The sequence below is a fragment of the Homo sapiens genome, chromosome 3 (genome assembly GCF_000001405.40).
Source record: "Homo sapiens chromosome 3, GRCh38.p14 Primary Assembly".
Classification (NCBI taxonomy): Eukaryota; Metazoa; Chordata; class Mammalia; order Primates; family Hominidae; genus Homo; species Homo sapiens.
The window spans coordinates 9,779,956-9,807,747 of NC_000003.12; the positions used below are offsets into that span (position 1 = coordinate 9,779,956).

General features: G+C 48.6%; 4 protein-coding genes across 18 annotated transcripts in view, besides 9 other annotated features; 3 read left to right on the forward strand and 1 right to left on the reverse strand.

Moving 5' to 3' along the window:
- The window catches only part of OGG1 (8-oxoguanine DNA glycosylase), a 41,119-nt gene extending 30,004 nt beyond the window's left edge, over positions 1-11,115 (forward strand). For 3 of the 9 annotated variants that reach the window (NM_001434448.1, XM_017006497.3, NM_001434450.1), the window contains 2 exons: positions 1,558-1,645; positions 3,026-3,153. In NM_001434448.1, coding sequence (NP_001421377.1) covers positions 1,558-1,617 — 60 coding nt within the window. In that variant the 3' untranslated portion in view covers positions 1,618-1,645; positions 3,026-3,153. Of the gene's footprint in view, positions 1-1,557; positions 3,154-7,772 lie in introns of those variants that run through there. The other 6 variants (XM_047448201.1, NM_001434447.1, NM_001434449.1 and 3 more) reach the window with 3 other exon arrangements.
- TADA3 (transcriptional adaptor 3) lies at positions 12-13,056 on the reverse strand. 4 transcript variants are annotated; one of them, NM_001278270.2, is made up of 9 exons: positions 12,867-13,056; positions 11,305-11,538; positions 9,758-10,008; positions 9,554-9,659; positions 7,244-7,385; positions 7,051-7,154; positions 5,361-5,470; positions 4,073-4,258; positions 12-594 (listed from the first exon to the last, which is right to left on the reverse strand). In NM_001278270.2, exons 2-9 carry the CDS (start codon positions 11,509-11,511, stop codon positions 402-404), a joined length of 1,299 nt encoding a protein of 432 aa, NP_001265199.1. In that variant the 5' UTR covers positions 11,512-11,538; positions 12,867-13,056; the 3' UTR covers positions 12-401. The 4 variants fall into 4 exon arrangements, 3 of the variants coding, with proteins under 3 accessions (NP_001265199.1, NP_006345.1, NP_597814.1); NM_006354.5 differs by lacking the exon at positions 12,867-13,056 and adding an exon at positions 12,261-12,518; NM_133480.4 differs by lacking the exons at positions 12-594; positions 12,867-13,056 and adding an exon at positions 12,261-12,518 and having other exon boundaries at positions 3,171-4,258.
- Positions 2,958-3,007: a silencer, noted in NCBI's record as "silent region_14041". NCBI's record gives its function as "represses an Ori minimal core promoter by ATAC-STARR-seq in GM12878 lymphoblastoid cells {active_cell/tissue: GM12878}" and the evidence as "EXISTENCE:reporter gene assay evidence [ECO:0000049][PMID:35858748]".
- Positions 10,845-11,345: an enhancer, noted in NCBI's record as "H3K4me1 hESC enhancer chr3:9832484-9832984 (GRCh37/hg19 assembly coordinates)". NCBI's record gives its function as "activates a minimal SCP1, AML or CMV promoter by ChIP-STARR-seq in naive H9 embryonic stem cells {active_cell/tissue: H9 hESC(naive)}" and the evidence as "EXISTENCE:reporter gene assay evidence [ECO:0000049][PMID:30033119]".
- Positions 12,333-12,422: a silencer, noted in NCBI's record as "silent region_14042". NCBI's record gives its function as "represses an Ori minimal core promoter by ATAC-STARR-seq in GM12878 lymphoblastoid cells {active_cell/tissue: GM12878}" and the evidence as "EXISTENCE:reporter gene assay evidence [ECO:0000049][PMID:35858748]".
- Positions 12,450-12,976: an enhancer, noted in NCBI's record as "NANOG-H3K27ac-H3K4me1 hESC enhancer chr3:9834089-9834615 (GRCh37/hg19 assembly coordinates)". NCBI's record gives its function as "activates a minimal SCP1, AML or CMV promoter by ChIP-STARR-seq in primed H9 embryonic stem cells {active_cell/tissue: H9 hESC(primed)}" and the evidence as "EXISTENCE:reporter gene assay evidence [ECO:0000049][PMID:30033119]".
- Positions 12,450-13,002: a biological region, named in NCBI's record as "NANOG-H3K27ac-H3K4me1 hESC enhancer GRCh37_chr3:9834089-9834615".
- Positions 12,483-12,772: a silencer, noted in NCBI's record as "silent region_14043". NCBI's record gives its function as "represses an Ori minimal core promoter by ATAC-STARR-seq in GM12878 lymphoblastoid cells {active_cell/tissue: GM12878}" and the evidence as "EXISTENCE:reporter gene assay evidence [ECO:0000049][PMID:35858748]".
- ARPC4 (actin related protein 2/3 complex subunit 4) lies at positions 12,563-27,146 on the forward strand. Of its 4 annotated transcripts, none has more exons than NM_001024959.3 (6): positions 12,563-12,750; positions 17,704-17,822; positions 20,230-20,341; positions 21,706-21,801; positions 23,888-24,058; positions 26,255-27,146. In NM_001024959.3, the coding sequence occupies exons 4-6, from the start codon at positions 21,742-21,744 to the stop codon at positions 26,258-26,260; spliced, it is 237 nt and encodes a 78-aa protein (NP_001020130.1). In that variant the 5' UTR covers positions 12,563-12,750; positions 17,704-17,822; positions 20,230-20,341; positions 21,706-21,741; the 3' UTR covers positions 26,261-27,146. The 4 variants fall into 4 exon arrangements, with proteins under 4 accessions (NP_001020130.1, NP_001020131.1, NP_001185709.1 ...); NM_001024960.3 differs by having other exon boundaries at positions 12,563-12,605; NM_001198780.3 differs by lacking the exon at positions 12,563-12,750 and adding an exon at positions 13,127-13,226.
- ARPC4-TTLL3 (ARPC4-TTLL3 readthrough) overlaps positions 12,593-27,792 on the forward strand; it is a 43,809-nt gene continuing 28,609 nt past the window's right edge. The window contains exons 1-4 of the mRNA NM_001198793.1: positions 12,593-13,169; positions 17,704-17,822; positions 20,230-20,341; positions 21,706-21,801. Coding sequence (NP_001185722.1) covers positions 13,167-13,169; positions 17,704-17,822; positions 20,230-20,341; positions 21,706-21,801 — 330 coding nt within the window. The 5' untranslated portion in view covers positions 12,593-13,166. The remainder of the gene's footprint in view (positions 13,170-17,703; positions 17,823-20,229; positions 20,342-21,705; positions 21,802-27,792) is intronic.
- Positions 12,903-13,002: an enhancer, noted in NCBI's record as "active region_19408". NCBI's record gives its function as "activates an Ori minimal core promoter by ATAC-STARR-seq in GM12878 lymphoblastoid cells {active_cell/tissue: GM12878}" and the evidence as "EXISTENCE:reporter gene assay evidence [ECO:0000049][PMID:35858748]".
- Positions 12,977-13,503: an enhancer, noted in NCBI's record as "NANOG-H3K27ac-H3K4me1 hESC enhancer chr3:9834616-9835142 (GRCh37/hg19 assembly coordinates)". NCBI's record gives its function as "activates a minimal SCP1, AML or CMV promoter by ChIP-STARR-seq in primed H9 embryonic stem cells {active_cell/tissue: H9 hESC(primed)}" and the evidence as "EXISTENCE:reporter gene assay evidence [ECO:0000049][PMID:30033119]".
- Positions 13,703-13,792: an enhancer, noted in NCBI's record as "active region_19409". NCBI's record gives its function as "activates an Ori minimal core promoter by ATAC-STARR-seq in GM12878 lymphoblastoid cells {active_cell/tissue: GM12878}" and the evidence as "EXISTENCE:reporter gene assay evidence [ECO:0000049][PMID:35858748]".

Consider the following 27,792-nt stretch of genomic DNA (forward strand, 5'->3'; position numbering starts at 1 on the left):
AGACTGGATGCTTTTTTTGAAAAACCACAGCAGTCACTTTATTCTTAAGTTTGCACTTTACAAAACCACAAGGGAGAAGTCCTTGAAGGGGAGACAGGGGTAGGGGATTAGGGAGTGGGGGATGGTAAAGAGGGGAAGAGGAAGACCCAGAAACGAAGTCCCCTCCAACCCCATCTCGGGGACCAAGCAGAGACTAGGCCTCAGGCTAGCCCAGCAGGGCTTCCTGTGTCCTGGTTGTACAGAGCTAGGCCAAAAGACCTCAGGGGAAGGGCCACGGCCCTCTAGAGACTGCCGCCATTTGAGGGACAGCCACAGGCCAATGTTTCCTGTGCCCAAAGAAGGAAGTGGGCCTCCCTTCCCCTCCCCTAGGCCAGATAATCAGCCTGAGGCAGGGGTGAGGGCTACCCATCCAGCAGCTTCAGGATGCTCTCACGCTCCTTCAGAGTCTTCCAGGCCTGGTCCTTTTCTTTCTTGGTGGGAGTCCGCTTCTTCTGCCGGGCAGCCATGATCTTGCGAAAGGCGTCCATGACCTCGTTGTCAGCCATGCGCACCCGCTGCCTCAGCTCCTGCCGGCTCACCTCCTCCTTTGCCAGCCTGTGGGGACCAGCCAGCCAGGTGCCAGGGTCAGCCCACCTCCAGAGAACAACCCCTCCCTCTTCAAGACCGAGCCTACCCACCAGCCCAGGCTGGCATGCCTGTGGATTGTGTCATACAGTCGTGACCAAAAAGCAGTTACTGACCTACACTTACATGGCACTATCTTAAGCTCCTGAAAAATATTAACTCATGTTGATCACGGGGGAGGCTGTGCACATGTGGGGACAGGGAGATACGGGAATTCTCTGTACCTTTCTCTCAATTTTGTTGTGAACTTAAAACTGCTCTAGAAGAATAAAGTCTTGGCTGCACATGGGGGTTCACATCTGCAGTCCCAGCACTTTGGGAGCCCAAGGCAGAAGGATCACTTGAGCCCAGGAGTTCGAGACCAGTCTGAGCAACATAGTGAGACTGTCTCTACAAAAAATTTAAAAAATTAGCTGGGTGTGGTAGTGCACACCTGTAGTCCCAACTCCAAGGGAGCTGAGGATTGCTTGAGGCCAGGAGTTCAAGGTTACAGTGAACTATGATCATGCCACTACACTCCAGTCTGGGCAACAGAGCGTGACTGTGTCTTCAAAAAAAAAAAGGTCTTAAAAATATACACAGTAGGCTGGGCAAAGTAGCTCATGCCTGTAATCCCAGCGCTTTGGGAGATGGAGGCAGGAAGATCACTTGAAGCCAGGAGTTGAGACCAACCTCGGCAACAGAGTAAGACCCTGTCTCTAAAATATATATATATATACATACACACACACAAACACACACACACAGGCACACCCACTCTCTCTCTCTGTCTTTCAGTTAATCCTAACAACCCTGCAAAATATGTACTATTATTCATATGTTACCCGTGAGGAAAATGAGGCTCAAAGATGATCCCAGGATCCCACAGTTAGTGAGGGGGAGATCTGGAGCAGGCTGGGGCCAAACTCTTGTTTTTAAACACTGTTGTTTCAGGTGTTCCGGTGCCAGCAGAAGGCCTGCTTACGTCGGCATCTGCATTCCAGAGCCCCCTAAGGTCTAGGCAGCCTGAGGCTGACAGGAGGTGGGTGAGACACCAGATCAATCTCTCTGAACAGGGTCTGATTTATACATTTCATCGATGGTGGAGCTGGAAGGTCACTTAGTGATTGAGTCCAGCCTGCCAGTTTTCCAGAAGGGGAAGGAGATGCTCAGGTCAGGGGCTGCTTAAGGCCTTGCAGCTGCTCTGCAGCAGGGTAAGGGCTGTGCTCTGGTTTCCTGAGAGCTGCAAGCCATTTCTTCATTGCCCATTACTTCTTTTTTTTTTTTTTTTTTTTTTTTTGAGACAGGTCTCACTCTGTCACCCAGGCTGGAGTACAGTGGCCTGATCAAGCTCACTGCAGCCTCTACCTCCCAGGATCAAGCAATCCTCCCACATCAGCCTCCTGAGTAGGACTATAGGCATGTGCCACCATGCCTAGCTGATTTTTAAAAATTTTTAGTAGAGAAGGGGGTCTGACTACATTGCCCAGGCTAGTTTCGAACTCCTGAGCTCAAACAAGCCTCCCACCTCAGTCTCCCAAAGTGCTGGGATTACAGGCATGAGCCACCAGGCCCAGCTAGGGCCCACTACTTCTGTAACTGCACATGCCTGCTTTTCTCTCTCTTCCTCTCTCTCCCTCTGCTTCCCTCAGTGCCTCTTCCATCTGTGTTTTCTTCTTCTCACCTTTCAGAGAAAACAAACTATTATAGAAAGAGGCTTTGATTCAACCACAGGTTCAAGTCTCAGCTTGCTGTTTATTGACTGTGTGACCTTCAGCAGAGCATTTCGCTTCACTGGGCCTTTATTTCCTCATCTGGTAAACAACGAAAATAGCTCCTCCCTCCTGGGTTGTTGTCAAGACACTTGAGAGAGTGTACATAAAGCCCCTGACACACAGTAGGCCCTCAGCATACATTAGTCACTCTTATCCTTAAATACCCTGGCAGCTTGTCAGCAACTACCTCTCCTTTTAATGGCACTTATCTTTACTGATCATCTGCTAGTAATCTGCAAGTCCCTTGCTCTGCCTCTCTTGCTGGCCCCCAGCACAATATCTAAGAGACAGTAAGAATGGCCAAATGATTAGCCTGGCATGGTAGTGCATGCCTGTAATCCCAACTACTCAGGAGGCTGAGGCAGGAGAACTGCCTGAACCCGGGAGGCGGAGGTTGCAGTGAGCCGAGATCATGGCACTGCACTCCAGCCTGGGCAACAGAGTGAGACACCGTCTCAAAAAAAAAAAAAAAAGGCCAAATGAATGAATGTGCCCTGTCCTGTCAGGGCTCTATGAAGTTAAGACACAGCACTTGTCTGTGAGAAGCAAAGAGACTTGTTCGGGTTGCTTCCCTATCTCTTTACCTAAAGGGTAGCTATTCCACAGTCTTCCTCAAGATGTCACCTATACCCTCGTGATCAATGCAGAACAAGATGGATGGGAGTTGACATCAAATGAATGGCAGGCACTGTGATGGATTCCCAAAAGAACATGTCCTAAAACACTGGTCAATTTCTTGTGATGAGCAAATAAAAATCACAGATCTCCAACAAAATGTTAACAGTTAATTAGTCTAGGTGGAGAATATACTGATGTTTATTGTATGATTCTTTCAGATTTTCTGTGTGTATCAAATTTTTAATAACAAAACTTTGGGGATAAAAAGAAAAGAAGCATGAAAAGACAAAAAATAAATCACACAACAATGTGAATATGGGTAACACTACTAAACTGTACACTTAAAAATGGTTAAGAAGCGTAAATTTTTTTTCTTTTTTTTTTTGAGATGCAGTTTCACTCTTGTTGCCCAGGCTGGAATGCAATGGTGCAGTCTCAGCTCACTGCAACCTCCGCCTCCCAGGTTCAACTGATTCTCCTGCCTCAGCCTCCCATGGAGATACATTTTATATTATGCCTTTACCATAATTAAAAAACCAAACTAGGCCAGGCGCAGTGGCTCACGCCTGTAATCCCGGCACTTTGGGAGGCCGAGGCGGGTGGATCACGAGGTCAGGAGATCGAGACCATCCTGGCTAACACGGTGAAACCCCGTCTCTACTAAAAATACAAAAAAATTAGCTGGGCGTGGTGGTGGGTGCCTGTAGTATCAGCTACTCAGGAGGCTGAGGCAGGAGAATGGCATGAACCTGGGAGGCGGAGCTTGCAGTGAGCCGAGATCATGCCACTGCACTCCAGCCTGGGTGACAGTGCGAGACTCCCTCTCAAAAAAAAACAAAACAAAAACAAATCAAATCAATCGGTCAGTCACAGATGCCTGAGCCCCACTCTGTGGAATCAGAATTTGTTTGGGACATACCCGGTGGACTGGCCACTGCTGTTTTTTTCGAGGCTCTCCAGGTGATTTAGAGGCCAGCCAGGATTGGAAAGCCTGTTGTAAAACCCCTGAAAGGTGACTAGCCGTGGCCACAGCCTCCAAGGCCACCCCCGGGACTGTGCATCCTGCTAACGCTCACCTCAGCAGGTCGTGCTTCTTGGTGCGGTTGTGGGCACTAAGTGCCTTCAGCTCAGCCTGCCGTTTGCGAAGCTCAGCAAGGACCTCATCCTCGGAGTCCTCTGCGGGGCGGTCCTCAGACTCCAAAAGGCCCTGGGCAATTAGCTCCTCCTTGATGCGGCTCTCCAGGGACTTAGTATGCGGCACACTGCAGCGGGAGGCAGGCCCGTCAGACTCAAGAGCCAGCTTGGAGAAGGGCCCACCTTGGAGGTTCCCAGGGCTTCCCAAGGTCAGTGAAAACCTGCCTTTCCCTTTGGGCACCCCCTCTGTATCTATCCAGATACAAAGGGAGGGACAGACACATCTGGTCTGGTTTTTAAAACAAGCAACGTATGTATCTACTATTCAAAAAATATGGAAAAACCCATAATGCCAACAACCCAGAGAGAATTACTATTATTTTGTTATATATTATTATATATATTCCAGATTTTGTTATATATTATTCCTAATCTTTTGCTACATATTAGTCCAGGTTTTTTCCCTTATGTGCACATATTTAAATATATTGTAAGTAAGCCAGGCATGGTGGCTCACACCTGTAATCCCAGCACTTTGGAAGGCCGAGGTGGGAGGATCACCTGAGGTCAGGAGTTCAAGACCAGCCCGGCCAAGATGGTGAAACCCCGTCTCTACTAAAAATACAAAAATGAGCCATACATGGTGGCAGGCGCCTGTAATCACAGCTACTTGGTGGCTGAGGCAGGAGAATCGCTTGAACCTGGGAGGCGGAGGTTGCAGTGAGCCAAGATTGCGCCATTGCGCTCCAACCTAAACGACAAGAGCGAGACTCCATCTCAAAAAAAAAAAAAGAAAAAGAAAAAAAGAAATATATTTTAAGTAAAAATAGTATTATACCATCCATACTGGGCTACAACTAATATTTTCTCCACTTGTCACTCTATAATTTACATCTTTTCATGTCATTTAACTATATTTCTCTATACTTGCAGCTATATGATTAATAGCCCCAAGTTATTTCATCATATGGAGTTATGCCAATTTAGCCAACCATTCCCCTTCAGCAGGACATTTGGGTTATTTATGGTATGAACAGTTCTGTGCTGAACAACCCTGCACTCAGTCTGTGCATGCAGACACGCTGGGTCATCACTCACACTTGAGACTGCTATTAGGCTTCACCTAACTGCCCCCAGCCTCTTACTGATGAGGACTTCCCCAGGTTGAGATGGAGAGAAGCCAACAGAAGCGGGGGCCAGACTGTGGGTTGTGGATAGGACACCACTCACCTGAAGGGCTTGTTCTGATTGCGAGGGGAGGTGCTTGCCCCGTCAGCCCCTGATTCTTTCCCAGACATGTCAGGAATAGGAGAATCCTCCATAGGGGAAATAATATTTTCCTAGAAGACCACAAAAATGAGTGGAAGGAAAAATAGCTGTTCCACTTTCCTGCTCCTTTCTGACCTACACTGACAGTCTTCAAACACCAGAAATATCCTTTTATCTTTCCCATCCCACCTACCGTGGGAAGCCTTCCCATACCAATCCCAAATTGCTTTGATCATTCTAGAAATCCCTTTTATTTTCGTACTGATGTGAAGAAAAAGGAACACAGAAGAGAAATGATTAACACTCAATGATGGTAATGAACAGCTAAGGTTTGTGAAGCGTCTGCAACGCACCAGGCAGTGTGCTAGGCCTGCTGTGGCGGAGATGCTAGCTGTCCGAATGCCATACTCTTCTTTCCTCCACGGCAGCTAGGCAATGCCTGTCCAGTTGTACTTCCCAGGCTCTCTTGCAGGCGGGTATGGTCATGTGACAAGTTCTCTCCAGGGGAAAGTGATCAGAAGAGATAAGAGCCATAGCTAGGCATGGGCCAAAAAGTTTCCTTCACACACTCCTCCTTGTTTTGTTTTGTTTTTTTTTTTTGAGATGGAGTCTCACTTTGTCACCCAGGCTGTGGAGTGCAGTGGCACAATTTCGGCTTACTGCAAGCTCCGCCTCCTGGGTTCATGCCATTCTCCTGCCTCAGCCTCCCAAGTAGTTGGGACTACAGGCGCCTGCCACTATGCCCGGCTAATTTTTTTGTATTTTTAGTAGAGACGGGGTTTCATCATGTTAGCCAGGATGGTCTCGATCTCCTGACCTTGTGATCCGCCCGCCTCAGCCTCCCAAAGTGCTGGGATTACAGGCGTGAGCCACCGCGCCCGGCCTCCTTGCTCTTATTCTGTGGGACTGGAGTGACAATTACGCCCAGAGTGACCTTGTGCAGACTGCAAGGCCACCGTCAGCTGGGGTCCCTGTCTGATGATATGAGATAGAGACCTGCCCCTTCCCCTACCTTAGATAACCTGCAACATGTACCCAGACTGTTCCATGAGATAAACTCTTGTGTTTGAGCCAGAATAGAAAACTGAGTCTCAATGAGGTGAAAGAGTGTGAGGGTGTGTCTAAGGTCAACCAGCAGGTATAAAGACAGGGCCCCTGAAGCTAGGGTTTGAATCCTGGTGTGTGAGACCTCAAGTGAACAGTTCCCTTTTCTGAGCCTCAATCTTCTTATCTGTAACACAGCGTTAACCACTGTCCTGGCCTCCAGTGGGAGGATGTGTATAAAGCCCCTCCAACAGATGCTTAGCAAAAGTAATTGTGGAGTAAGGCTACCTTTGGGGAAAGTTGGAGAAAAACAGGGGCATGAGAGGGGCTTCTAGGATATAGTAATGTTTCATTTTGTAATCTCCAGGCTGGTAATACAAGCTCATTTGTGAAAACTGTACATTTATGATCTGTGCACTTTTCTATTAGGTGCACAAGTTATATATTATTCCCAATCTTTTGCTATATATTAGTCCAGGTTTTTACTTTTGCACCAACCTATTTTTGCACCAACCTAATAAATGTATGATAAATTCCGATAAAAAATAAGCATAACACATTAAAACACAAAGTAAATATGGTTCCTCTTTTGGGTTAGGCTGCTCACCTCCACCAGGGCCTGCAGGAGGCGCTGCGTCAGGGCACCAAAGGGGCATCCATCTTCCGGCTGTTCATGCTGGGCCTCAGACTTCTTCAGCAGGGCATCCACATCTAAGCGGGCACAGGAAAGGAGGGGAGGTGGGCTGAAGTTCTGGAATTCAAGTCCTGACCTGGGGTTGGCAGGGAGGTGAGAGGCCTACCTTTAGTGTCCAGTTCGGTCAGTGGCCCCATGAGGCCTTTCTTCTTGTCAGCCACAGCCGCTGCCCGGGCCCCATCCTTCTGCTCCTCCAGCAGGTCCTCCTGGGCCCAGCGCTGGGAGTAGTGCTTCCCCAGGGGTGGGATCTGTGGAAAAGATGGCACCCAACCCTGAGTGGGTAAGCACTGGCCAGCCATGCTTCATTCATTCATTCACTTACCTATCTTATATCTCTCTCAAGTCCCTAGTCCAAGGCCAAGCCCAGTGTCAGGTGTAGGTAAGAAAGTACAACGAAGATAAAACCTGTACTTCACACTCTAGTAAGGGAGACAGGTCCAAAAAGAACTAAGACACACACACAGAAGCCAATCTGAAATAATTCCCAAGATAGAAGGTGCAGAATACGTACACAGATTGTCTCAGGTCACAGCAATTGCCTCTCGAGAGAATTAGGAGCCTTCAGGTCACGGGTGACAGGGAATTACCTTTTGTATTGCTTGAATTTACTGCTGTCTGTATGAACTCTTTTTCAGATAAATTTTTAAGAAATCAGATAAGTGAAGTGAAAGAGAGAGATCAAAGTGTTGTGGCAGCACAAAGGAGAGACTGACTAACTTTCTGCTGGGGAATCTGAAAGAGTGCTTTGGTGGAGGTAACATGAGATCAGGGCCTTGAAGGGTGAGTCAAGTCTGTCAAGGAGACAAGAGGGAGAGAAGAGCTTGCCAGAGGCCCAGAGACCAGCGAGGAGGCTGTGGTGTCCTGGAATGAGGGCGAGATACTTGGTGGGACTGGTCAACACGGCAATGAAGAGGGATATGGCCGAGGAAAATGGAGAGGGGCACTGGAGCTGTGCCAGCAAGGACTGGGATGCGTGGACTTGATCCTGTAGATAACGGGAGGAAGAAAGGCCTGGATGCAGCGCCATGTCATGAGCACATCTGATCATGACAGCTCACCTATGGGAGGATTCTCCCTCAACATTTTTCTGTATTTTCTAAATTTTCTTTAATGGAGCATGTTTTATTTATTTTCATCATTAAAACATAGTTTTATATCTTCTTTTTTTTTTGAGACAGAGTCTTGCTCTGTCACCCAGGCTGGAGTGCAGTGGCACAATCTCAGCTCACTGCAAGCTCCGCCTCCCGGGTTCACGCCATTCTCCTGCCTTAGCCTCCCGAGCAGCTGGGACTACAGGCGCCCGCCACCACGCCCGGCTAATTTTTTCTATTTTTAGTAGAGACGGGGTTTCACCGTGTTAGCCAGGATGGTCTCAATCTCCTGACCTTGTGATCTGCCCGCCTCGGCCTCCCAAAGGGCTGGGATTACAGGCTTGAGCCACCGCACCCGGCTTTTTTTTTTTTAATGGATGGAATCTCCTTCTGTCACCCAGGCTGGAATACAGTGGCACGATCTTGGCTCATTGCAACCGATGCCTCCCCAGTTCAGGTGATTTTCCTGGCTCAGCCTCCCGAGTAGCCAGGATTACAGGTGCATGCCACCGTGCCAGGCTAATTTTTGTATTTTTAGTAGAGACGGCGTTTCACCATGTTGGTCAGGCTGGTCTTGAACTCCTGACCTCAGATGATCTGCCTGCCACAGCCTCCCAAAGTGTTGGGATTACAGGCGTGAGGTGACTTTTATATCTTTTTTTTTTTTTTGGAGACGGAGTCTTGCTCTGTTGCCCAGGCTGGAGTGCAGTGGCGTGATCTCGGCTCACTGCAACTTCCACCTCCCGGGTCCAAGAGATCCTCCTGACTCAGCCTCCCGAGTAGCTGGGACTACAGGCGCACACCGCCATGCCTGGCTAATTTTTTGTATTTTGGTAGAGATGGGGTTTCACCATGTTGCCCAGGCTGGTCTCAAATTCCTGAGCTCAAGCAATCTGCCCGCCCCGGCCTCCCAAAGTGCTAGGATTGCAGGCATAAGCCACTGCTCCCAGCCCAAGTTTTATATCTTAAAGAAAGAAGAAAGGTTCCTCCAGAGGCCTCGAAACAGGAAGAGAGTTAAGAGGCTGTTTGGATAGAAGTTGATGAAGGCTTGGACCAAAGCAGAGGGGATGGGGATAAAGGAACATGGGCAGACTTCACTTAAGTAGATGCTTGAGGGCGTGTTGACATTTGGCTGGGGTAGAGGGGAGGCAGTGCACGGAGAAAGCTGAGTTTGGGCCTAGGTGTCTGGAGGCACTGATGGAGCAGACAGCAGACTGGGCAGGGTTGGGGAAGGAAGATGATGCATGGCTTTGGTAGCTTTACTTCTCAGGCACCTCTGAACTCTCTTGTTCCGCATCATGTCTATCAAGGCCCAGAGTTTCTACCTTGTAATGCTCAGCCTCATCTTCTGGGGGCTTCAGTAACTCCTCAAGTGTGCGGACCTCCTCGCTGGTGATGTCAGCACAGTAGGGCTCCACTGAAGCCCAGAACCTGCAGGGAGAAGCAGATCCTGAGTGGGCGCCCCTGCCCCACCAGTGCCTCCACCACCAGAACCTTGAGGCCCCCTTCTATGTTCTCTAGCCCAGAACCTGTTGGGGGCATCATTTTTGGGGATCCGTGGCACGTCGATAGGGTCATCAGTGAATTCATATTCCTGGATCTTGGGCTGAAGGTTTTTGGATTTGGGCCGTCCTGGGCCAGGGCCCGGCCCATGTCCTGCCTTCCCTTCCAGTTTCTGCTTCTTGGGCTTCCCATGTTTGGGGGGAGCTCCAAGTTCATGGTCTCGACCCAGCTTCAGGAATCGTCTGTCACCTTTCTTATCCTGCCAGTCGGTGAGGATCTGAAATTTACAGAAAGTGTCACTGAGGGGGAGAAGGGAAAACACAGAATATCTCTTTCCTCTAGTGAATAAATTAGGATCTAGAATCTACAGAGGCTCCTGGGTCTTTCCCCATCCTCTTTTTACCTAGTAAACTCTTACTCATCCTTCAAAATTCAGCTCATTTTCTGTGCCTGGCCTCCTAGAACTTTATTCATATACTTCTCATAATCTCATTCACTTGTTCATCTATACTGATTCACTTCTGTATCACCCATGCCAGTCACATACTGTTTAACAGAAGAGTCCTCTCAGCAAACCTTCACTTCGATGTCACCACTACTGAGATGCCTTCTCTCAATCAGTTACCCAGGTTCTTAGATGCTAAAATACAACTTGAGTCATAGCCTTCCTCAAGGAGGGTCCATGGATTCCCAGGGACAAGTTAATTCCATTCATCCTTTTAGGTCCAGTTGGCACCTCCTTCCTCCACAAGTCTCTGGCACTTCACAGCTCCAACGTGCACCCAATCGTGTTGTTTGGTCACACTGGAATGACCATCACACCTTGTCTCTTCAACTAGACCATAAGCTACTGAGGACCAGAAAGCCCACCTTAACCATCTCTATTTTGCAGAATACAGCATAGCGCCTGGCACACAAGGCTCAAGGCATCTTTATGCAGTGAATAAAGTCATCAGAGTAGCAAATAAATAACATCTGAAGTACTTACTTAGTGTCTGGCATTGGGCTGAGTTTTTGCAAAAAATTCTCTTTTAATCCTCACAAAAGCACTAAGGTAGGTCCTATTATTCACCCCACTTTGCAGATAGGGAAACTGACACTCAGAGATATGAGGCAACTTTCTCAAAGTCACATAGCTAGGAAACAGCAATGCTAGCAAGCGCTTATGCCAGGATTCAAATCCAGGTTTCCCCATTCCAGTTCCCTAGGACTGCTAACCACAACATCACATCACCTGGTATGTACTTGACTTTCTCACTTTCCTAGTTGCCAAGCTCCCTGACAGCCATAACTGTCCTAATTACCTTTCTCTAATGACTAGCATAGGACCCAGAACACAATGGGGGATGAGTGGGGTGCCAATAAAAGCTTACTGAATTAGAAATCTTGCAATTTAAGAGGATCATGCATATTCTTGTGTATTTTTTGTGTCATGCAAACCCAGTTTGCGTCTCTCTCCCTCTCCCCACAAACCCCTGTACCCCAAGTCTCAGCATATGGGGCTAACTCAATGACCCATCCCATAACTTGTTGCAGTCCATCTCTGGTGCTGGCCCCTCTCTGGGGTTATCACCTGGGTTTCGGCCTCAAGCACACGCAGGCGCCGGCTGGCAGAAGACAGCAGGGTCTCCAGCTCCAGCTGCAGGGTGTCCAGCTCCTCGATGCCGATGCCATCATCCTCAGAGCGTGCCAGCACTGCCGTGTAGCGGGGACAGACCTTCAGGTGATCCACAGACTTGAAGTCGTGGAACTGCAAGGGGCAGTCTTTCAACTCACTCATGGCCCAGGATATGGGGATCCTGTGGAGCTGGAGAGGACAGGGCCATTGATGGGAGACAAAGTGGTCTGAGAAAAGCCCAAGGGCTTCTTACCTCCAGGGACAGCCTCAAGGAAGCCCAGCTTCAGTCCCTTACTGACAAAATTGATGGCACAGTTCCTACTCACAGGGCACTTAACTGGGTACCAAGCTAGGTGCAGAGCACTTTATCAGTTTATCTCACTGAATTTCTCACTCAGCACCATGAACAAGGACCATTGTGATCTCGTTTTTACAGAGAAAGAAACTGAGACTCTGTAAGGGTGGGTATGTGCCTATGCTTCCAAGATGCAATTTGAACCCCGCTAGTCTTGAGTCTGCACCCTGATCACCATGCTATACTGCTATGCCTTGCCTCGCCTTTCTGATGCTCTTTCCTTCCCTTCTATTTCTCTTGGGTTCTGCTAAGACTTTGAGTTCCAAGCACCCCATTCTTACCATGTTCTCTGGGACTCTTGGCCTCTTTTCTTACCCTATTCCACCTTTCTCCCTTCTCTAGTCACTAACAGTGGTTTAGAACGTGGGCTGGTAAGCCAGACAGACCTGGGTTCAAGCCCAGGCTTTACCATTCTCTACTTATATGCCCCTGAACATGTTATTTGACCTTTTTCAGTCTCAGTTTTTCCATCTGTAAAATGGGGACAAAAGAAGTCTCGGTCTGTTTCCCCATTAAAAGTCTGAATCTGAAAAATGGGGATAACAATAGTACCTACCTCCCTGGGATGTTCTGAGGATTAAGAGATGATGCCCGTCAAGAGCCCAGTTCAGTGTCTGGCACAGAAGTGGGACTGTTTAATGGCTGGCCCCGCCCGGGGGTCGCCCAAATGTCCCGCCTTCAGAGTCCTCGTTCTCTAGGGACACCCTAGTGCGACCCCCGCCCCCTCTACCTCCTCGCTGCGGCCTCCTACGGCCCCAGGGGCCGCGGGAGGGGGCGGGGAGTTCCGGTCGATGTGAGCAACCGCCCCGGAACTGGCTATGGGCGGGCCCCTTGCAGTTGACGCGGGGGCGGGGAGTCAGCGAGGGCGAGCCTACTGGAGTTTGCCGGGGGTGGGAAGAAGGTGGGCCTCGAGCAAAGCCGCTAGAGGTGGGGTGCGGGTGGTCGGCCTCAGGCGAGCCCCGGGGCACAGCCCGGGGCGGGAGGCGGAGCTTGGCGGCCGAGATCTCCGCGCTGCAGTTAGCCCCGCCGAGCGCCAGGAGCTGCGGGTAGGAGGGGCGAGAGAAAGGATGGGGGTACAGAACCGGAAGAAACGAAGGGCTCGTCCGCTTCGGCTTGTCCTAATTTGGTGCCCAATCTGAAGCTGGGCTGTACCATTGCATACCTGGGGGAGGCTGTGGCAAAGGTGACAAGAAGGCCGAAGGCACAAAGGGAAGCTGCACCCATTCCTGGAGGAGCTTAAATAGTGACTCGAGTGCAAGAATTTAAAAATACCGAGACAGCCCTAGGTGGAAAACTTCCGGAAGGCCCAAGCGTTCGTAAGGGCTCTCTACCCCGCTCGGAGCATAGATGGTACCGTCCGGAAGTCCGGGCGGAGACCGTAGCTGCGCTTCTCGCGAAAGGGCAGGCATCGCGGGGCTGGCCACTTCCGTACTTCCGCTTTCCGGCCCAGCCAGCGCCCGCGATGGTGAGAGAGCCGGGCCCCCGGCCAGGGACCCCCGGCTGTTCGGCCTCAGGGCAGTGGGTCGGTGGGAGATGTGGCTTTGCCGCAGGGGCGCGGGGCCGAGGGATGTCCGGGGGTTGTGGGGACACGATGAGGGTGGGAAAAAGAGACGGGGCGGGGGCCCGAGGTGAGGAAGGGGCGAGTGGGGGTACTCCCTGGTATGAAGTGGGCCTTGTGGCTTCACGGTCAGCCTTCGAAGCAGGTAGGGGCTTTTCCTGAGCCCTGTAGGAACCCGGAAGTGGGGTCTCCTAGGCTCTTTGGAGCATTTCGAGGGTACGTAGTCGGCCTCTTAGCCTCTGAGGCATGAAGCAAGTCCACCTGCCTATCCACAGTGGAACTTCACGACATACGCCCTTTGTCCTCTTCTGCCTTCCTGACCCTACAGTTGCTTAAGGCAGGCGGCCACACTTCCTTATCCCATTCTTGGTACCTCCAGCCCTGCTTCCACCCCATTGGAGGATCTCTCGTGTTGCTTCCATTCAGGCCCTTCCTGGTCAGAACTGAACTGTGTCAGCCTTAGTGTATGTTAGCTGTGATACTGCTCATCCCTCCCTTCCTGGAAGTCCTCCCTTTTTCATACATGTGGGCCTTTTTCATACATGTGGGCCTTTTTCATACGTGTGGGCATTCCTGGGAGTTGTGACTTTGGATGACCATCTCCCTCTTCGTCACACCTTCCCTGGTGATACCGATCTAGTCTCCTGGCTTCGATAACTTTCTTCATTCTGATGACTCCTAATCTGGCTTCTCAGCTCTCTTTCAAGGTTTGCCTGGATATCTTGAAGAGACCTTGAAATTAGACCTCTAGTTCAAAACTCATATTCTATTCTAAATTTGTTCTTCCTCCTGGGTTCCCTATCCTGGCAAACTTTTGTGACCTCATGTCTCTGCTAAAAATCTGTATTTTTTTTTTCTAGTGGGGCACATGCCTCTTGATTTTTAAAAGTTCAAGTTTATTGAGGTATTACATGAGACTACATCTGTTTTATTCATGAAAGGACAGGCGTCACGGAGCCAGTCACCCTTTTTAGGTTTACTTTCTATAACTGTTGACAAAGGCCAGGCGTGGTGGCTCACGCTTGTAATCCCAGCACTTTGGGAGGCAGAGGCGGGCGGATCACGACGTCAGGAGATCGAGACCATCCTGGCTAACACGGTGAAACCTCTTCTCTACTAAAAATGCAAAAAATTAGCCGGGCGTGGTGGTGGGCACCTGTAGTCCCAGCTACTCAGGAGGCTGAGGCAGGAGAATGGCGTGAACCCAGAAAGCAGAGCTTGCAGTGAGTCGAGATCGTGCCACTGCACACCAGACTGGGCAACAGAGTAAGACTCCGTCTCAAAAAAAAAAGCGTTGCAAAAACTTGCTGGGTATGGTGGCATGCGCCTGTAGTACCATCCGCTCAGGACACTGAGGCAGGAGGATCACTTGAGCCCAGAAGTTCGAGGCCGTAGTACACTGTGATCACTCCTGTGAATAGCCACTGCACTTCAGCCTGGACAATATAGCAAGATCCCGTGTCTTAAAAAAAAAAAGTCAAGTTGTGTAACCACTACTGCAACCAAAATACAGAACATTTCCGTCACCCCAAAAAGTTCCCTCAAGCCCTTTTGTAATCAGTCCTCTCCTTCCCACCCCAGACAACTACTGATTTTTCCCCCCTGTAGTTTTGCCTTTTTCAGATTGTCATGTAAATGGAATTCTTTAGTATGCAGGCTTTTAAGTGTGGCTTCTTACCATAATACATTTGAGAGTCAACCATGTTGTGTGTATCAATAGTTACTCTTTTTTTATTACCAAGTAGTAGTTAATTGAATGGCTGGACCACAGTTCGTTGGAAGTGGTTTTTCTTTTTCTTTTTTTTTAAGACACAGTCTCGCTCTGTCACCCAGGCTGGAGCACAGTGGCGTGATCTCGGCTCACTGCAACCTCAGTCTCCTGGGTTCAAGCAATTCTACTGCCTCAGCCTCTCAAGTAGCTGAGATTACAGGCACCCGCCACAGCTAATTTTTTGTATTTTTAGTAGAGACGGGGTTTTGCCATGTTGGCCAGGCTGGTCTTGAACTCCTGACCTGAGGTGGTCCACCCACCTCGGCCTCCCAAAGTGCCGGGATTACAGGCGTGAGCCCCTGGGAAGTTTTTTTTCAGTTCCATTATCCACTCCATCTAATGTCAGTCCAACGCTTGTGATACTCTTTGCTTGTGATACAGTCTGCTGTATGTCTCACTTCCCTCTCCAAATCATTCTCCACAGAGCCATCATGCAGCTGCAGTCATGAACTTCCTCCTCAGAAAGCCCCAGTAGTTCCTTACCCCCTTAAGAGAAAAGCTAAACTTGGTAGCCTGGCATTCAAGATTCCCCATGATCTTACCTCAGCCTACCGCTGCAGCCTCATTTAGTGAATCTAAAATGCTTCTCATATACAGAAACATTGTACTCATTACTACTCTGGAACTCTTGCTGTCCTTTTGTGTTACTCTAATCTTAATTATTTCTTTCGCTTATTTATTCTACAGGAAATGAGTGAGACACTGTATATGTTAGGTACTGAGCTAGGTTGGAGGCTATATAGCTGTGAATAAAATAGATATGGTCTGTTGACCATGAGGTTTACAGCCTAGTAAAGGAGAAATCACTTACAAAGGCATGAAGGAGGGCAGGTGCAGTGGTTCATGTCTGTAATCCCAGCACTTTAGGAGGCCGAGATGGGCGGGTCACTTGAGGTCAGGAGTTTGAGACCAGCCTGGCCAACATGGCGAAACCCCATCTCTACTAAAAATACAAAAATTAACCAGGCACGGTGGTGCACACTTGTCATCTCAGCTATTCGCATGGCTGAGGCAGGTGAATCACTTGAACCCGGGAGGTGGAGGTTGCAGTGAGCCAAGATTGCACCACTGCGCTCCAGCCTGGACAACAGAGTAAGACTCTGTCTCAAAAAAAAATAAAAAAGGCCAGGCACGTTGGCTCACGCCTGTAATCCCAACACTTTGAGAGGCCGAGGTGGGCGGATTGCCTGAGGTCAGGATTTCAAGACAAGCCTGACCAACACGGTGAAACTCCGTCTCTACTAAAAATACAAAAATTAGCCAGGCATGGTGATGTGCGCCTGTAATCCCAGCTACTCGGGAGGCTGAAGCAGGAGAATCGCTTTAACCCAGGAGGCGGCGATTGCCGTGAGCAGAGATCGTGCCACTGCACTCCAGCGAGGGTGACAGAAGCGAGACTCCCTCTCAAAAATAAATATTAAGAAGACATGAAAGACATTTTTTTGTCAATTGTAATAAATACTTTATAGGGGGATGTCAAGGTCTCTCTCAAGAGGCCTTCCTTAATTAAGCTGAGATCTGGAGGATGACTTAGGCAAAGAAAGAGGAGAAAAGCCTACAGATAGATGGTCAAGCATGTGTAAAGCTCTGAGGTGGGAAAGAATTTGGCTGATACAAGGACTGACCAGTGCAGCTAGAAGCTAATCCCTCTCCTAAGAATGTCCTTATTCTGGCAGGGTGTGGTGGCTCACGCCTGTAAACCCAGCACTTTGGGAGGCCAAGGCGGGCAGATTACAAGGTCAGGAGATTGAGACCATCCTGGCTAACACCGTGAAACCCTGTCTCTACTAAAAATACAAAAAGTTAGCCGGGTGTGGTGGTGGGCGCCTGTAGTCCCAGCTACTTGGGAGGCTGAGGCAGGAGAAGGGCATGAACCCGGGAGGTGGAGCTTGCAGTGAGCCGAGATCGTGCCACCGCGCTCCAGCCTGGGCAACAGAGCGAGACTCTGTCTCAAAAAAAAAAAAAAAAAAAGAATGTCCTTATTCTCCTTTTTCTCCTCCTAATCCCATTTCACCTTCAAAACCAGTTTCTTCTGCAAATATAGATTACTTGTAAATCTAAATATTTCACATGTCATCTTTATATCATAGTTATTTTCTGTATATTTGCTATCCAGTTGAGCTGTTTGAGGGTAGAGACAGTGTTAATCATCTTTGAATTCCCAGTTAGCTCAGTGCGTGGCAAACAGTACACCTATACATTTGTTGGCCTAATAGATTGACGACAATCATGCATTCACTGGTGTGTCTCTAGATCACTTTCTCAACCTTAGCACTATTGATATTTGAGTCTCGATAATTCTTTGTAGTGCATTGTAGTATGTTTAGTGGATATCTGTCCACTGAATGCCTGCAGTTCCCCTTCTTGCCAAGTCATGACAATTGAAAATGTCTCAGCATTCCTCTGGTCTGACCCCAGGTTAAAAAAGAAAGAAAGGAAATGTCTCGACATTACCAAATGTACCCTGGCAGGCAAAATTGTCTCCTGTTGAAAACTACCACTCTACACCTTGGAAGGCGTCTCGAAGGCCTAGTCTGTTCTGTTCACAGTAGTGTCTTAAGAGCCTTGCACCCTCAGTGCTACCTGGCTTCATGGGAGCTGGAATAGGGGATCGGTGGGTTTGGCGTGACAGATTTTGATCTTCCCTTTCCTCTGTGTTATTTCCTATAGACTGCCACTCTCCGCCCCTACCTGAGTGCCGTGCGGGCCACATTGCAGGCTGCCCTCTGCCTGGAGAACTTCTCCTCCCAGGTTGTGGAACGACACAACAAGCCGGAAGTGGAAGTCAGGTAGGGAAGGACAAGTCAAGGTGGGGATGAGGGGTGCAGCACACAGAGATGGCTGCTGTCTAGAAGGTGCCATGAACTTATGTCCTGCAGTAGTCAGGAAAGCTGCAGTTGACATTTTGTCTTGCTGCCAGCTGAATGGTGATTCCCAATTTGGAGTTAAGAAAATAGGGTCAGTGGGTTGGCAGGACAGAACCCAGGGGAAAAGACAAGATTGGTTAACACAAGGTATGACTTCTCAGAGCAGGGCTGTTGATGAAGTCTCTCCTGTGGCATTGTTGAAAACACTGGTAGTTTAAGGAATGGTCAGATAATTGTTATCTGAGATTCCATCTCCATACTTTTCTTTTTTTTTTTTTTTTTTCCCATCTCCATACTTTTCTAATGTAATGATCAGGGATTTTTTTTTTACCTACCAGCCTAGACACTCTGACCCCCTAATCCAAATACTTCATATTTTGAATGATTTTCTCTTATCTAGTTTCCATTTCATAAATATCTTTTTCCCCTTTAAAATTTAATCTGGAGGCCTGGTGCAGTGGTTCACCCCTGTAATCCGAGCACTTTAGGAGGCTGAAGTGGGTAGATCGCTTGAGTACAGGAGTTCAAGACCAGCCTGGGCAACATGGCAAGACTCCATCTCTACCAAAAAAATATGCAAAAATAGTCAGGCATGGTGGCACATGCCTGTAGTCCCACTTCTCTGGAGGCTGAGGCAGGAGGATCTCTTGAGCCTGGGAAGCAGAGGTTGCAATGAGCCAACATTGCGACAGTGCACTCCAGCCTGGGTGAGACCCTGTCTCAAAAAATAAGTAAATAGGCCGGGCACAGTGGCTCACGCCTGTAATCCCAGCACTTTGGGAGGCCGAGGCAGACAGATTATGAGGTCAAGAGATCGAGAGCATCCTGGCCAACATGGTGAAACCTTGTCTCTACTAAAAATACAAAAATAAGCTGGGCATGGTGGTATGCACCTGTAGTCCCAGCTACTCGGGAGGCTGAGGCAGGAGAATTGCTTGAACCTGGGAGGCGGAGGTTGCAGTGAGCCAAGATCGTGCCACCGCACTCCAGCCTGGCAGCAGAGCAAGACTTCGTCTCAAAAATAAAATAAAATAAAATAAAATAAAATAAAATTCATTCTGGTACATACATAACTGAGATAATCTGGGTTACAACATTAAATGATACGATTTAATTTTTAATTTTAAAAATAACTGATAAAGATGTTAGGATATGCCCTGTTATACTGTGTAACGTACACGATTTCCAGTGGGCCTTTGAAAATGGTTAGCAGTTTAGAGACACCACACCACAATTAATTACTATTAGAGATCTCTAGGTATTCAGAGGCATTACTTTGTAACCTGAACTCATAGGGGTCTCAGAGGCAAATGAATCATTTCTGGATTGATAATTAAAGGAAGCCAAACTGTGTTCAATTTTAGCCTTTCCTTACCTCTAAGACAGGTGTTCTCTCTGTATTCCTAAATGGTATATTGGTTTGCCTGTACAGGTTGAGTATCTCTTATCCAAAATGCTTGGGACCAAAAGTATTTCAGATTGTGGAATATTTGCAGATACTTAACCAGTTGAGCATCCCTAATTCCAAATCCAAAATGCTCCAATGAGGATCTCCTTTGAGCATCTTGTCAGCACTCGGAAACTTTCAGGTTTTTTTTTTTTTTTGAGATGGAGTTTGATTCTGTCACCCAGGCTGGAGTACAGTGGTATGATCTTGGCTCACTGCAACTGCCACCTCCTGAGTTCGAGCAATTCTCGTGCTTCAGCCTCCTGAGTATCTGGGATTATAGGAGTGCGCCACCATGCCCAGCTAATTTTTATATTTTTAGTACAAATGGGATATCACCATGTTGGCCAGGCTGGTCTCGAACTCCTGACCTCAGGTGATCCACCAGCCTCAGCCTCTCAAAGTGCTGGGATTACAGGCATGAGCCACTGTGCCCAGCCAGTTTCAGATTTTGGATTTCAGATTTGCAGATTGGGGATGTTCAACTTGTAGTTACTAAAATAGCTATCTTTTGTAAAGCTCCTACTATGTGCCAGGCACGCTATTAGACATTTGACCCTTTTTGATCTCTCTCAGTCCTCGCCAGTGAATTAGGAATCAGAGTCATTTTACAGATGAGAAAATTGAGATTCCAACAGGGTAACTTGCCCAAGGAAAGTAACAGAGGAGGCTGGATTTCAAAACCTTTTCGCCCTGACTTCAGAGCCTGTGCTCTTTCTGCTGAAGAACACACTCACTGGCCCCCATCTTGGAGCACTCCTGCTTGTGAGTCTTCTATTCCTTGGACTCTATGGTCTCATAGTGATTCCAGGACCTGCGTGGGGTCACTCTGACTATTCTATCCCTCTGTAGTACAAGTACTCTGTCACATTATGTTTTCAGGAGTAGCAAAGAGCTCCTGTTACAACCTGTGACCATCAGCAGGAATGAGAAGGAAAAGGTTCTGATTGAGGGCTCCATCAACTCTGTCCGGGTCAGCATTGCTGTGAAACAGGTAAGTTCACCATGGAGGAGGCCCAACGTAAGGCCTCTTTCAGTCCTTTCAGCCTCTTTCAGTCCGGGGTCCCCATCTGAGAGATCAGTGTGCCAGATTCCAGATTCAGAGTGCAGGAAACCTAGCCTCTGCTTCCTTTTTTTTTGACACGGATTCTCACTCTTGTCGCCCAGGCTGGAGTGCAGCAGCATGATCTCAGCTCACTGCAACCTCTGCCTCCCGGGTTCAAGCAGTTCTTCTGTCTCAGTCTCCCAAGTAGCTGGGATTACAGGCATCCGCCACCACGCCCAGTTAATTTTTGTATTTTTAGTAGAGACAGAGTTTCACCATGTTTGCCAGGATGGTCTCCATCTCCTGACCGCAGGTGATGGGCCCGCCTCAACCTCCCAAAGTACTGGGATTACAGTCATGAGCCACCATGCCTGGCCAGTAGAGGGCAACTCTAAACTTTCAACAGGATGAAAACGAAGCACTGTTATTAAATGCAGACTACACACTGTTTTCTACAGAAACTTATAAACCTGGGGCCTGCTTTCCTTGCTAAAATGGGAGGTTAACAAGTGTTGAGAGGTGTTAAGGGCATGCTAGCAACCAGCAGCAATAATCTTCCTTTAGAAATGTTGAGAGTTCAGGGCCAGGCACAGTGGCTCATGCCTGTAATCCCAGCACTTTGGGAGACCAAGGCGGGTGGATCACTTGATGTCAGGAGTTCAAGACCAGCCTGGCCAACATGGTAAAACCCTGTCTCTACTAAAAATACAGAAATTAGCCAGGCGTGGTGGCACGCGCCTGTAATCCCAGCTACTTGGGAGGCTGAGGCAGGAGAATCGCTTGAACCCGGGAGGCAGAGCTTACAGTGAGTCAAAATCGTACCACTGCACTCCAGCCTGGGTGACAGAGCGAGATTCCATCTCAGAAAAAAAAAAAAAAAAAAAAAAAAAGAAATGTTGAGCATTCAGAAGGGAGAAACTTCAGGGATTGTTGGATGTTCAGTGTTATTAAAGCAGAGACCACCTAAGGTTATCTCTGATAGCCCAGGTGATGCTGCAAAACACCCTGGGAAATGTGACACTAGTGAAATGAGAATGGAAAGGGCAGCTTGGAGTACAGCTGTAGACTCTGAAAGAAGCAATAGAAGCCTGTCAGAATTACCTCTCTGGAATGGGTCGTCATTAAGAGATGCCCCAAGGTAGACCCTTGTTTCAGTTGACAGCCAGGTCCCCCACTTCAGTGATCCTTCCGAGTACCAAACCTCACTGTCTCCTGGGAGCCTTGAAAAAACTGGAGTCAGAAGACCAGGCTACAAGGTGTTTTTGGCCTTGGGTGTCAGCTTTAGAGAAACATTTCTCTCTTGCACTCCCCAGGCTGATGAGATCGAGAAGATTTTGTGCCACAAGTTCATGCGCTTCATGATGATGCGAGCAGAGAACTTCTTTATCCTTCGAAGGAAGCCTGTGGAGGTGAGACCCTGTGACCCATGAGTTTGCGATACCCAGGACCCTGTTACAGAATGGCCTGGGATTGTTTCTAGAACCAGCTACTCCAGCTGTTTGGCACCCACTGCCTGAATTGAGAGTTGGCCTTCATCTTGGAGTGGGAGCAAAGAGGATTAGAAGCTTAGGAAAAGTTGGGTCTACCTCAGCCATAGAAAAGGCAAAAAAGAGCCGGGCGTGGTGGCTCATGCCTCTAATCCCAACACTTTGGGAGGCCGAGGTGGGTGGATCATGAGGTCAGGAGTTCAAGACCAGCCTGGCCAACATGGTGAAACCCCATCTCTATTAAAAATACAAAAATTAGCTGGGCATGGTGGTGGGCGCCTGTAATCCTAGCTACTCAGGAGGCTGAGGCAGAGAACTGGTTGAACCTGGGAGGCGGAGGTTGTAGTGAGCCAAGATCGTGCCACTGTACTGCAGCCTGGGCGACAGAGCAAGACTCCGTCTCAAAAAAAAAAAAAAAAAAAAAAAAGGCAAAAAAGATAAGACACATTGCTTATTCCCGGAGCCTATAGTCTAGCATCAGAAAGAGCACAGTGAATTAGAAATCCTTTCTAAGATCTGCCAAATGAATCATAGTCTCTCTCTCTTTTTTTTTTTCTTTGAGACGGAGTCTCGCTCTGTCGCCCAGGCTGGAGTGCAGTGGCACAATCTTGGCTCACTGCAAGCTCCGCCTCCCGGGTTCACGCCATTCTCCTGCCTCAGCCTCCTGAGTAGCTGGGACTACAGGCGCCCACCACCACACCTGGCTAATTTTTTGTATTTTTAGTAGAGACGGGGTTTCACCATGTTAGCCAGGATGGTCTCGATCTCCTGACCTCGTGATCTGCCTGCCTCGGCCTCCCAAAGTGCTGGGATTACAGGCTTGAGCCACCGCGCCTGGCCTTTTTTTTTCTTTTTTTGAGATGGAGTTTTGCTTTTGTTGCCCAGGCTGGAGTGCAGTGGCGCAGTCTCACTGACTGCAACCTTCCACCTCCCAGGTCAAGTGATTCTCCTGCCTCAGCCTCCCGAGTAGCTGGGATTATAGGCACGCATGTGCTACCATGCCCAGCTAATTTTGTATTTTTAGTAGTTTCATTGTGTTGGCTAGGCGGTCTCAAACTCCTGACCTCAGGTGATCCGCCTGCCTCGGCCTCCCAAAGTGAATCATAGTCTGCAATCTGGGCTCACTGCAAGCTCCGCCTCCTGGGTTCACGCCATTCTTCTGCCTCAGCCTCCCGAGTAGCTGGGACTACAGGTGCCCGCCACCATTCCCGGCTAATTTTTTGTATTTTTAGTAGAGACGGGGTTTCACTGTGTTAGCCAGGATGGTCTTGATCTCCTGACCTTGTGATCCGCCCACCTCGGCCTCCCAAAGTGTTGGGATTACAGGCGTGAGCCACCGCGCCCGGCCCACTGAATCAGTCTCTTAAAGCCACAGTTAACATTGGGTCAGTTGTTGCCTGAATTTGTACTTGAATCTTCTCCACAGACTCCTTGCCAGGTAAACTTAAAATATCCCCAGTGACTAAGCAACTACCACACAGCAGCATGTGCCATCATCAGACACGTCAGGCGTGTTAGCCAAGTTCTTCCTCATTCTGAGCCAAATTTTCTCTCCTGGTCCTAGATCTAACCTCTGGGGCCACCCGGAATAAATAAAATTGATCTTCCTCCCACAGCCCTCCAGCAGAAAAAGACCCTTAATCCCACCCATCTTCCACATCATCTCTTCTCTGGACTAAATGTTCCCTGTTGTTTGATTAGATTATTCTGTAACAAGACTTCAAGTTCCTTGACTCATTCTGAATGCAGAGCTGTTGTGCCACAGATAGTTTTCCAGAGATGTCTGATACACACAGAATTCTCAACGGGGTTCAGTTGCTTGGATCCAACCTAGACACCCTCCCCCAGAGCAGCTGGGCTGCTGACTGGAAGGGTATGTAGCTTGGGAGAAGATCACAGCCAGTGGGAAGCATGTGGATGAGTGGAGGACATGACCAGCTCAGTTCCCATGGGGTGCTAATTCTCTCCTGTTCCTTCTCTTCCCCCTCCCTACTGTCTTCTTCCCTAGGGGTATGATATCAGCTTTCTGATCACCAACTTCCACACAGAGCAGATGTACAAACACAAGTTGGTGGACTTTGTGATCCACTTCATGGAGGAGATTGACAAGGAGATCAGTGAGATGAAGCTGTCAGTCAATGCCCGTGCCCGCATTGTGGCTGAAGAGTTCCTTAAGAATGTGAGTAGGGGCCTTTAGCTTTCCTTCCAGAGGCCAGAGGATCTGGGGGTCATGTTGAGAACTTAGCATCTGGTGGGAAAGGGGTCCAAGCAGTGTGTTTATATCTCCTGAGCTCTCTAGGACCCCTGGGGCACAGCAGGTCAGTCAGGTGCTTTGGAGCTAGAGGACCCCAAGTTCATCTCTGAGAGCTACAAGGCATTTTCTATATTTGGGTGTCTGGGGTGGCTCTTAGTCTCTCGTAGGAACTTGGTCACTCATTTCTACATCTCAGGATGTTCACAAAGTCCTTGCCTCTATCTCGTTTAAACCCCAAGTGAGGTAAGTGAAGTCTGCATGTGAATTTTCTAGGAGTATAGGACAATTAATCATGTTATGATTCCACTTCTCAAATAGACTTCAGTACTTTCCTTCAGCATGTTTCTCAGGCTTAAATCATGATTCCTTCAACCTGTTTTCCATCACTTGCATGGCGTAAGTCCTCCAGATTCCTCTTACGTTGTTTATGTCTTTCTAATTGAAAGCACTTTAGTCATCTGAAGAGGTAGAATTGTTTACATTGATGAACTGGTGACATCGTTCTTAGTTGTTTAGATATTCAGAACATGCCTTTTTTTTTCTCCTTTTTCCAAGCAATCTTTGGTTTGTTGACATGTGCCACCCAGAGTGGCTGTGATCTCTAGACGGTAGACTTAGTGTGTACTCCCACCAGTAAGTACATACCCAGTCCAGAAGGAGCTCAGATTCCTAAAAATGGAAATTATACCCGCTTCCCTTGGGATTTAATTATACTGAGGGTGGCCAGTGTACAGAGTAGCTGTGGTGGGTGCACAGGTCGGCATGGCTGTTCAGCTCACTCGGCTATGGAGGCAACCCACCTGTGTGGGAATCCAGGCTCCACCGCCTACTCAGGCATGTCACTGAACTCTCAACTAAGTCTCAGTTTCCTCAGCTGTGAAATGAAGGTCTGGTAATTAATACTTATCTTTCAGTGGTTGAGCATTAAATGAGACCATGTGTGTAAAACGTAGCACCTGGTACATAGTAAGCTTTCCGTGTATTGCACCACCAAAATTTTATGGCCAGGATATTAGGAGGCCTCTAGATTGAACTGGAAGGGGAAAATAGCTCTTGTTCCAATTGAATATTTGGCTCACTCACTCAACAATCATTTACTTATTTATGATAATTATATCGCACAGAATTGGACCCCTAAAAAAGTATGTTCACATGTCCCATTTATTACTCAAAACAGTCTTTGAGTCAGCTATTATCGCCATGTTAGAGATTAATAAACTGGGGCTTTAGAAGTAAAAGCACCTGTCCAAAGTCCCTCAGCCAGTAAGAGGAGGAACCAGAATGTGGAGCTGGGTTTTCGGACTCAGAGGTCTAAGAAAGTACCATAGCCTTTGTCAAGGGTCACAAATTCAGGTGCATCCAAAGGTCGGGTAGCTATGGAGTGGGCTGAGTATGGAGTGGGCAGGGTGAGGAGCTGCTGAGCGCATGCCTCATGTGCAGGGGCTGGCTCCCACACAGCTCCAGGCCATTGAACCCCCAAATTTGGATTTGTATATGGCATCTTCCATGTTTTCAAGGTTGGCAACTAATTCATATTGTTTTAAACACCATGTGGGCCATGCAGTGCTCATCTTTGGGCTAGTTTCAGGCATGGGCCATTGGTTCACAACCTTTGGTCTCTAAAATGTGCAGGGCTGTCCTAGGCAGCATGGGGGACCCTTGAGGGCAGAAAACATTTCAAGGGCCTGGCTTGGTTGGAGGTTCATCCAGAGCTTGACACAAAAGTACCAGAACCTGGGTCCTTTTCCACTTGGCCCTCTGAGTCCCCAGGCCCCTTGCATGAGAGCCCCCATGCCTAAAGAAAGCAACCTCAGTTCACCAGGCAGGACGCTGGCAGGGCTTTCTAGCAGCCTCCATGCCAGGGCACAAGGGAGCTGTGGAGAAGCTCTCATGGCTCTTAATTTTTCTGCCTTATCTAGTGCTAGGCTTAGGGCCGGTGCCCATAGGTCACTTCTGAAAGCTGGCTGAATTAGAGCATGACCACAAGGTGTCCTGGGACCCAACTCTGCCCCTCACAGATATGAGCACAGTGGCAGCTCTCAGGTTCATGCACCTCCTTAGAGCAGTGCCACCAGGATGCAATAATAACCACCATGCACTGCCTCTTGGTTCTCTTGACAGTTTTAAACCATCTGGCTGGATCTCGTGGCCTTCCCCCTCAGACTACCCATGTCTCCACGAAGGCGTCCTGGAGTCACTCCCCGAGCAGCGCGGCGGCGGCAGGGAGTTGGGTTGGGGTGGGCATTTGATGCGGGAGGTGGGTGGTGTGCTTGCTAGCTGGGCAAGAAAGCAGCAGTGGACCTGCCCCAAGGCCACACGTGCCTGGTCAGGCTGGCTTCTGATGTTCAGTCCCCTGGGCCGGGACAGATTTTTTTTAACGTCTTGAAACTTAAACTCTGTGCTTGTAGGATACTGTAACCTTTTTGTCTTTTTTTTTTTTTTTTTTTTTAAACCTCCACCTCCAGTGGCTGTGACTGGTCCCAGTGATTATACGTTATTGGTTGCTGTGGGTCTGGGCGGGCCTGGAGCCAGAAGGCGACTTATTTTTTCTCTCCTATGCCACCCCAGGTGGGGAGGGAGGGAGGTTTCAGACTCCAGTTTCTCCCTTGCCCTTTTATTCCCAAGCCTCCTTGGCCCCAGTATAAGTGTTGGGAACTCTCTGCCAGCTTCCTGAGTTCTGCCTAAAGATGGCCCCCCAGCACTGGTTGGGGACAAGGGCCAAATTGGTGACCACCAGTCATGCCTAGGACCTGGGGCCCAAAAGCCGGGCAACCTCTGGCTACAGGGGCCATTGGGTGCCCTCCCAGTTGAGAGGGGCCGCTGTTTCGCCTTGTCCGTCAGTGCCAGTGCCTGTGCCAGAGGTGGCGAGGTGAGTCCTCCAGAGCTTCCTGGCCGGGCCCTCCTCCTGCCTGTTCTGGCTCCTCTGCTCCCACGCTAGCTGTCCCTTTTCTGATTCTGGTGGATCCTCCCTCCCCTAATTAAAGTCTCTTTTTGCCCCTTTGGGGCTGCATGAGGTCTATGCTGTGTGTGTGTGTGAAAGGAGGGGAGGTGGGGCTTCTTTTCCCTGAGACCAGATGGCTGGTAATTGTGCCTGGAGCTCCCCACTGGGTGCAGTCTCATGATTGGTCCTGCCATTATTCCTGCCAGGGGTCCCAACCCAGAGACTCCATTCATTGCAGTCCAGGCACCATTAATTTCTGAAACTGCTCTGTCTGCCTATACAGAGCTTTGGTGCTTTTCACATAAGGAACTTACTTGGGCTAAAAAGTAACCTCAGAGAAACAGTGCTCCCATTTGGTGGATAAGGAAACTGAGGTTCCAAACATGAGATGTAATAGCTTGCCCCAAATCTAGCCAGTGAGCAAGAGAGTAGACTTTTGCCTGTGCCAAAACAGTAATCACCATCCACAAGTGGCTATTTAAATTTTAATTATTACAATTAAATAAAGTTTAAAATCCAGTTCCCCAGTCCCACTGGCAACTTAACAGCTACCAGTGACTGTACCATATATAACAGCATATATAGACATACAGCATATACAACACATACATAGAGATTCCCATCATTGCAGAAAGTTCCATTGGATAGTACTAGACCTTAGTAACACCTTGAAGTAAAAAGACAAAAGACCCTTGTGTTTGAGTCCTGATTCTTCTTG

Coding starts and splice junctions, on each gene's coding strand:
- ARPC4 (NM_001198780.3), top strand. CDS start 13,167: ATGGTGAGAGAGCCGGGCCCCCGGCCAGGGACCCCCGGCTGTTCGGCC. Junction 13,227..17,703: donor GTTCGGCCTCAGGGCAGTGG/GTCGGTGGGAGA, acceptor TATTTCCTATAG/ACTGCCACTCTCCGCCCCTA. Junction 21,802..23,887: donor TTCGAAGGAAGCCTGTGGAG/GTGAGACCCTGT, acceptor CTTCTTCCCTAG/GGGTATGATATCAGCTTTCT.
- TADA3 (NM_001278270.2), bottom strand. CDS start 11,511: ATGAGTGAGTTGAAAGACTGCCCCTTGCAGTTCCACGACTTCAAGTCT. Junction 7,155..7,243: donor GACCGAACTGGACACTAAAG/GTAGGCCTCTCA, acceptor GTGCCCGCTTAG/ATGTGGATGCCCTGCTGAAG. Junction 5,471..7,050: donor TCCTGCAGGCCCTGGTGGAG/GTGAGCAGCCTA, acceptor GTGGTCTTCTAG/GAAAATATTATTTCCCCTAT.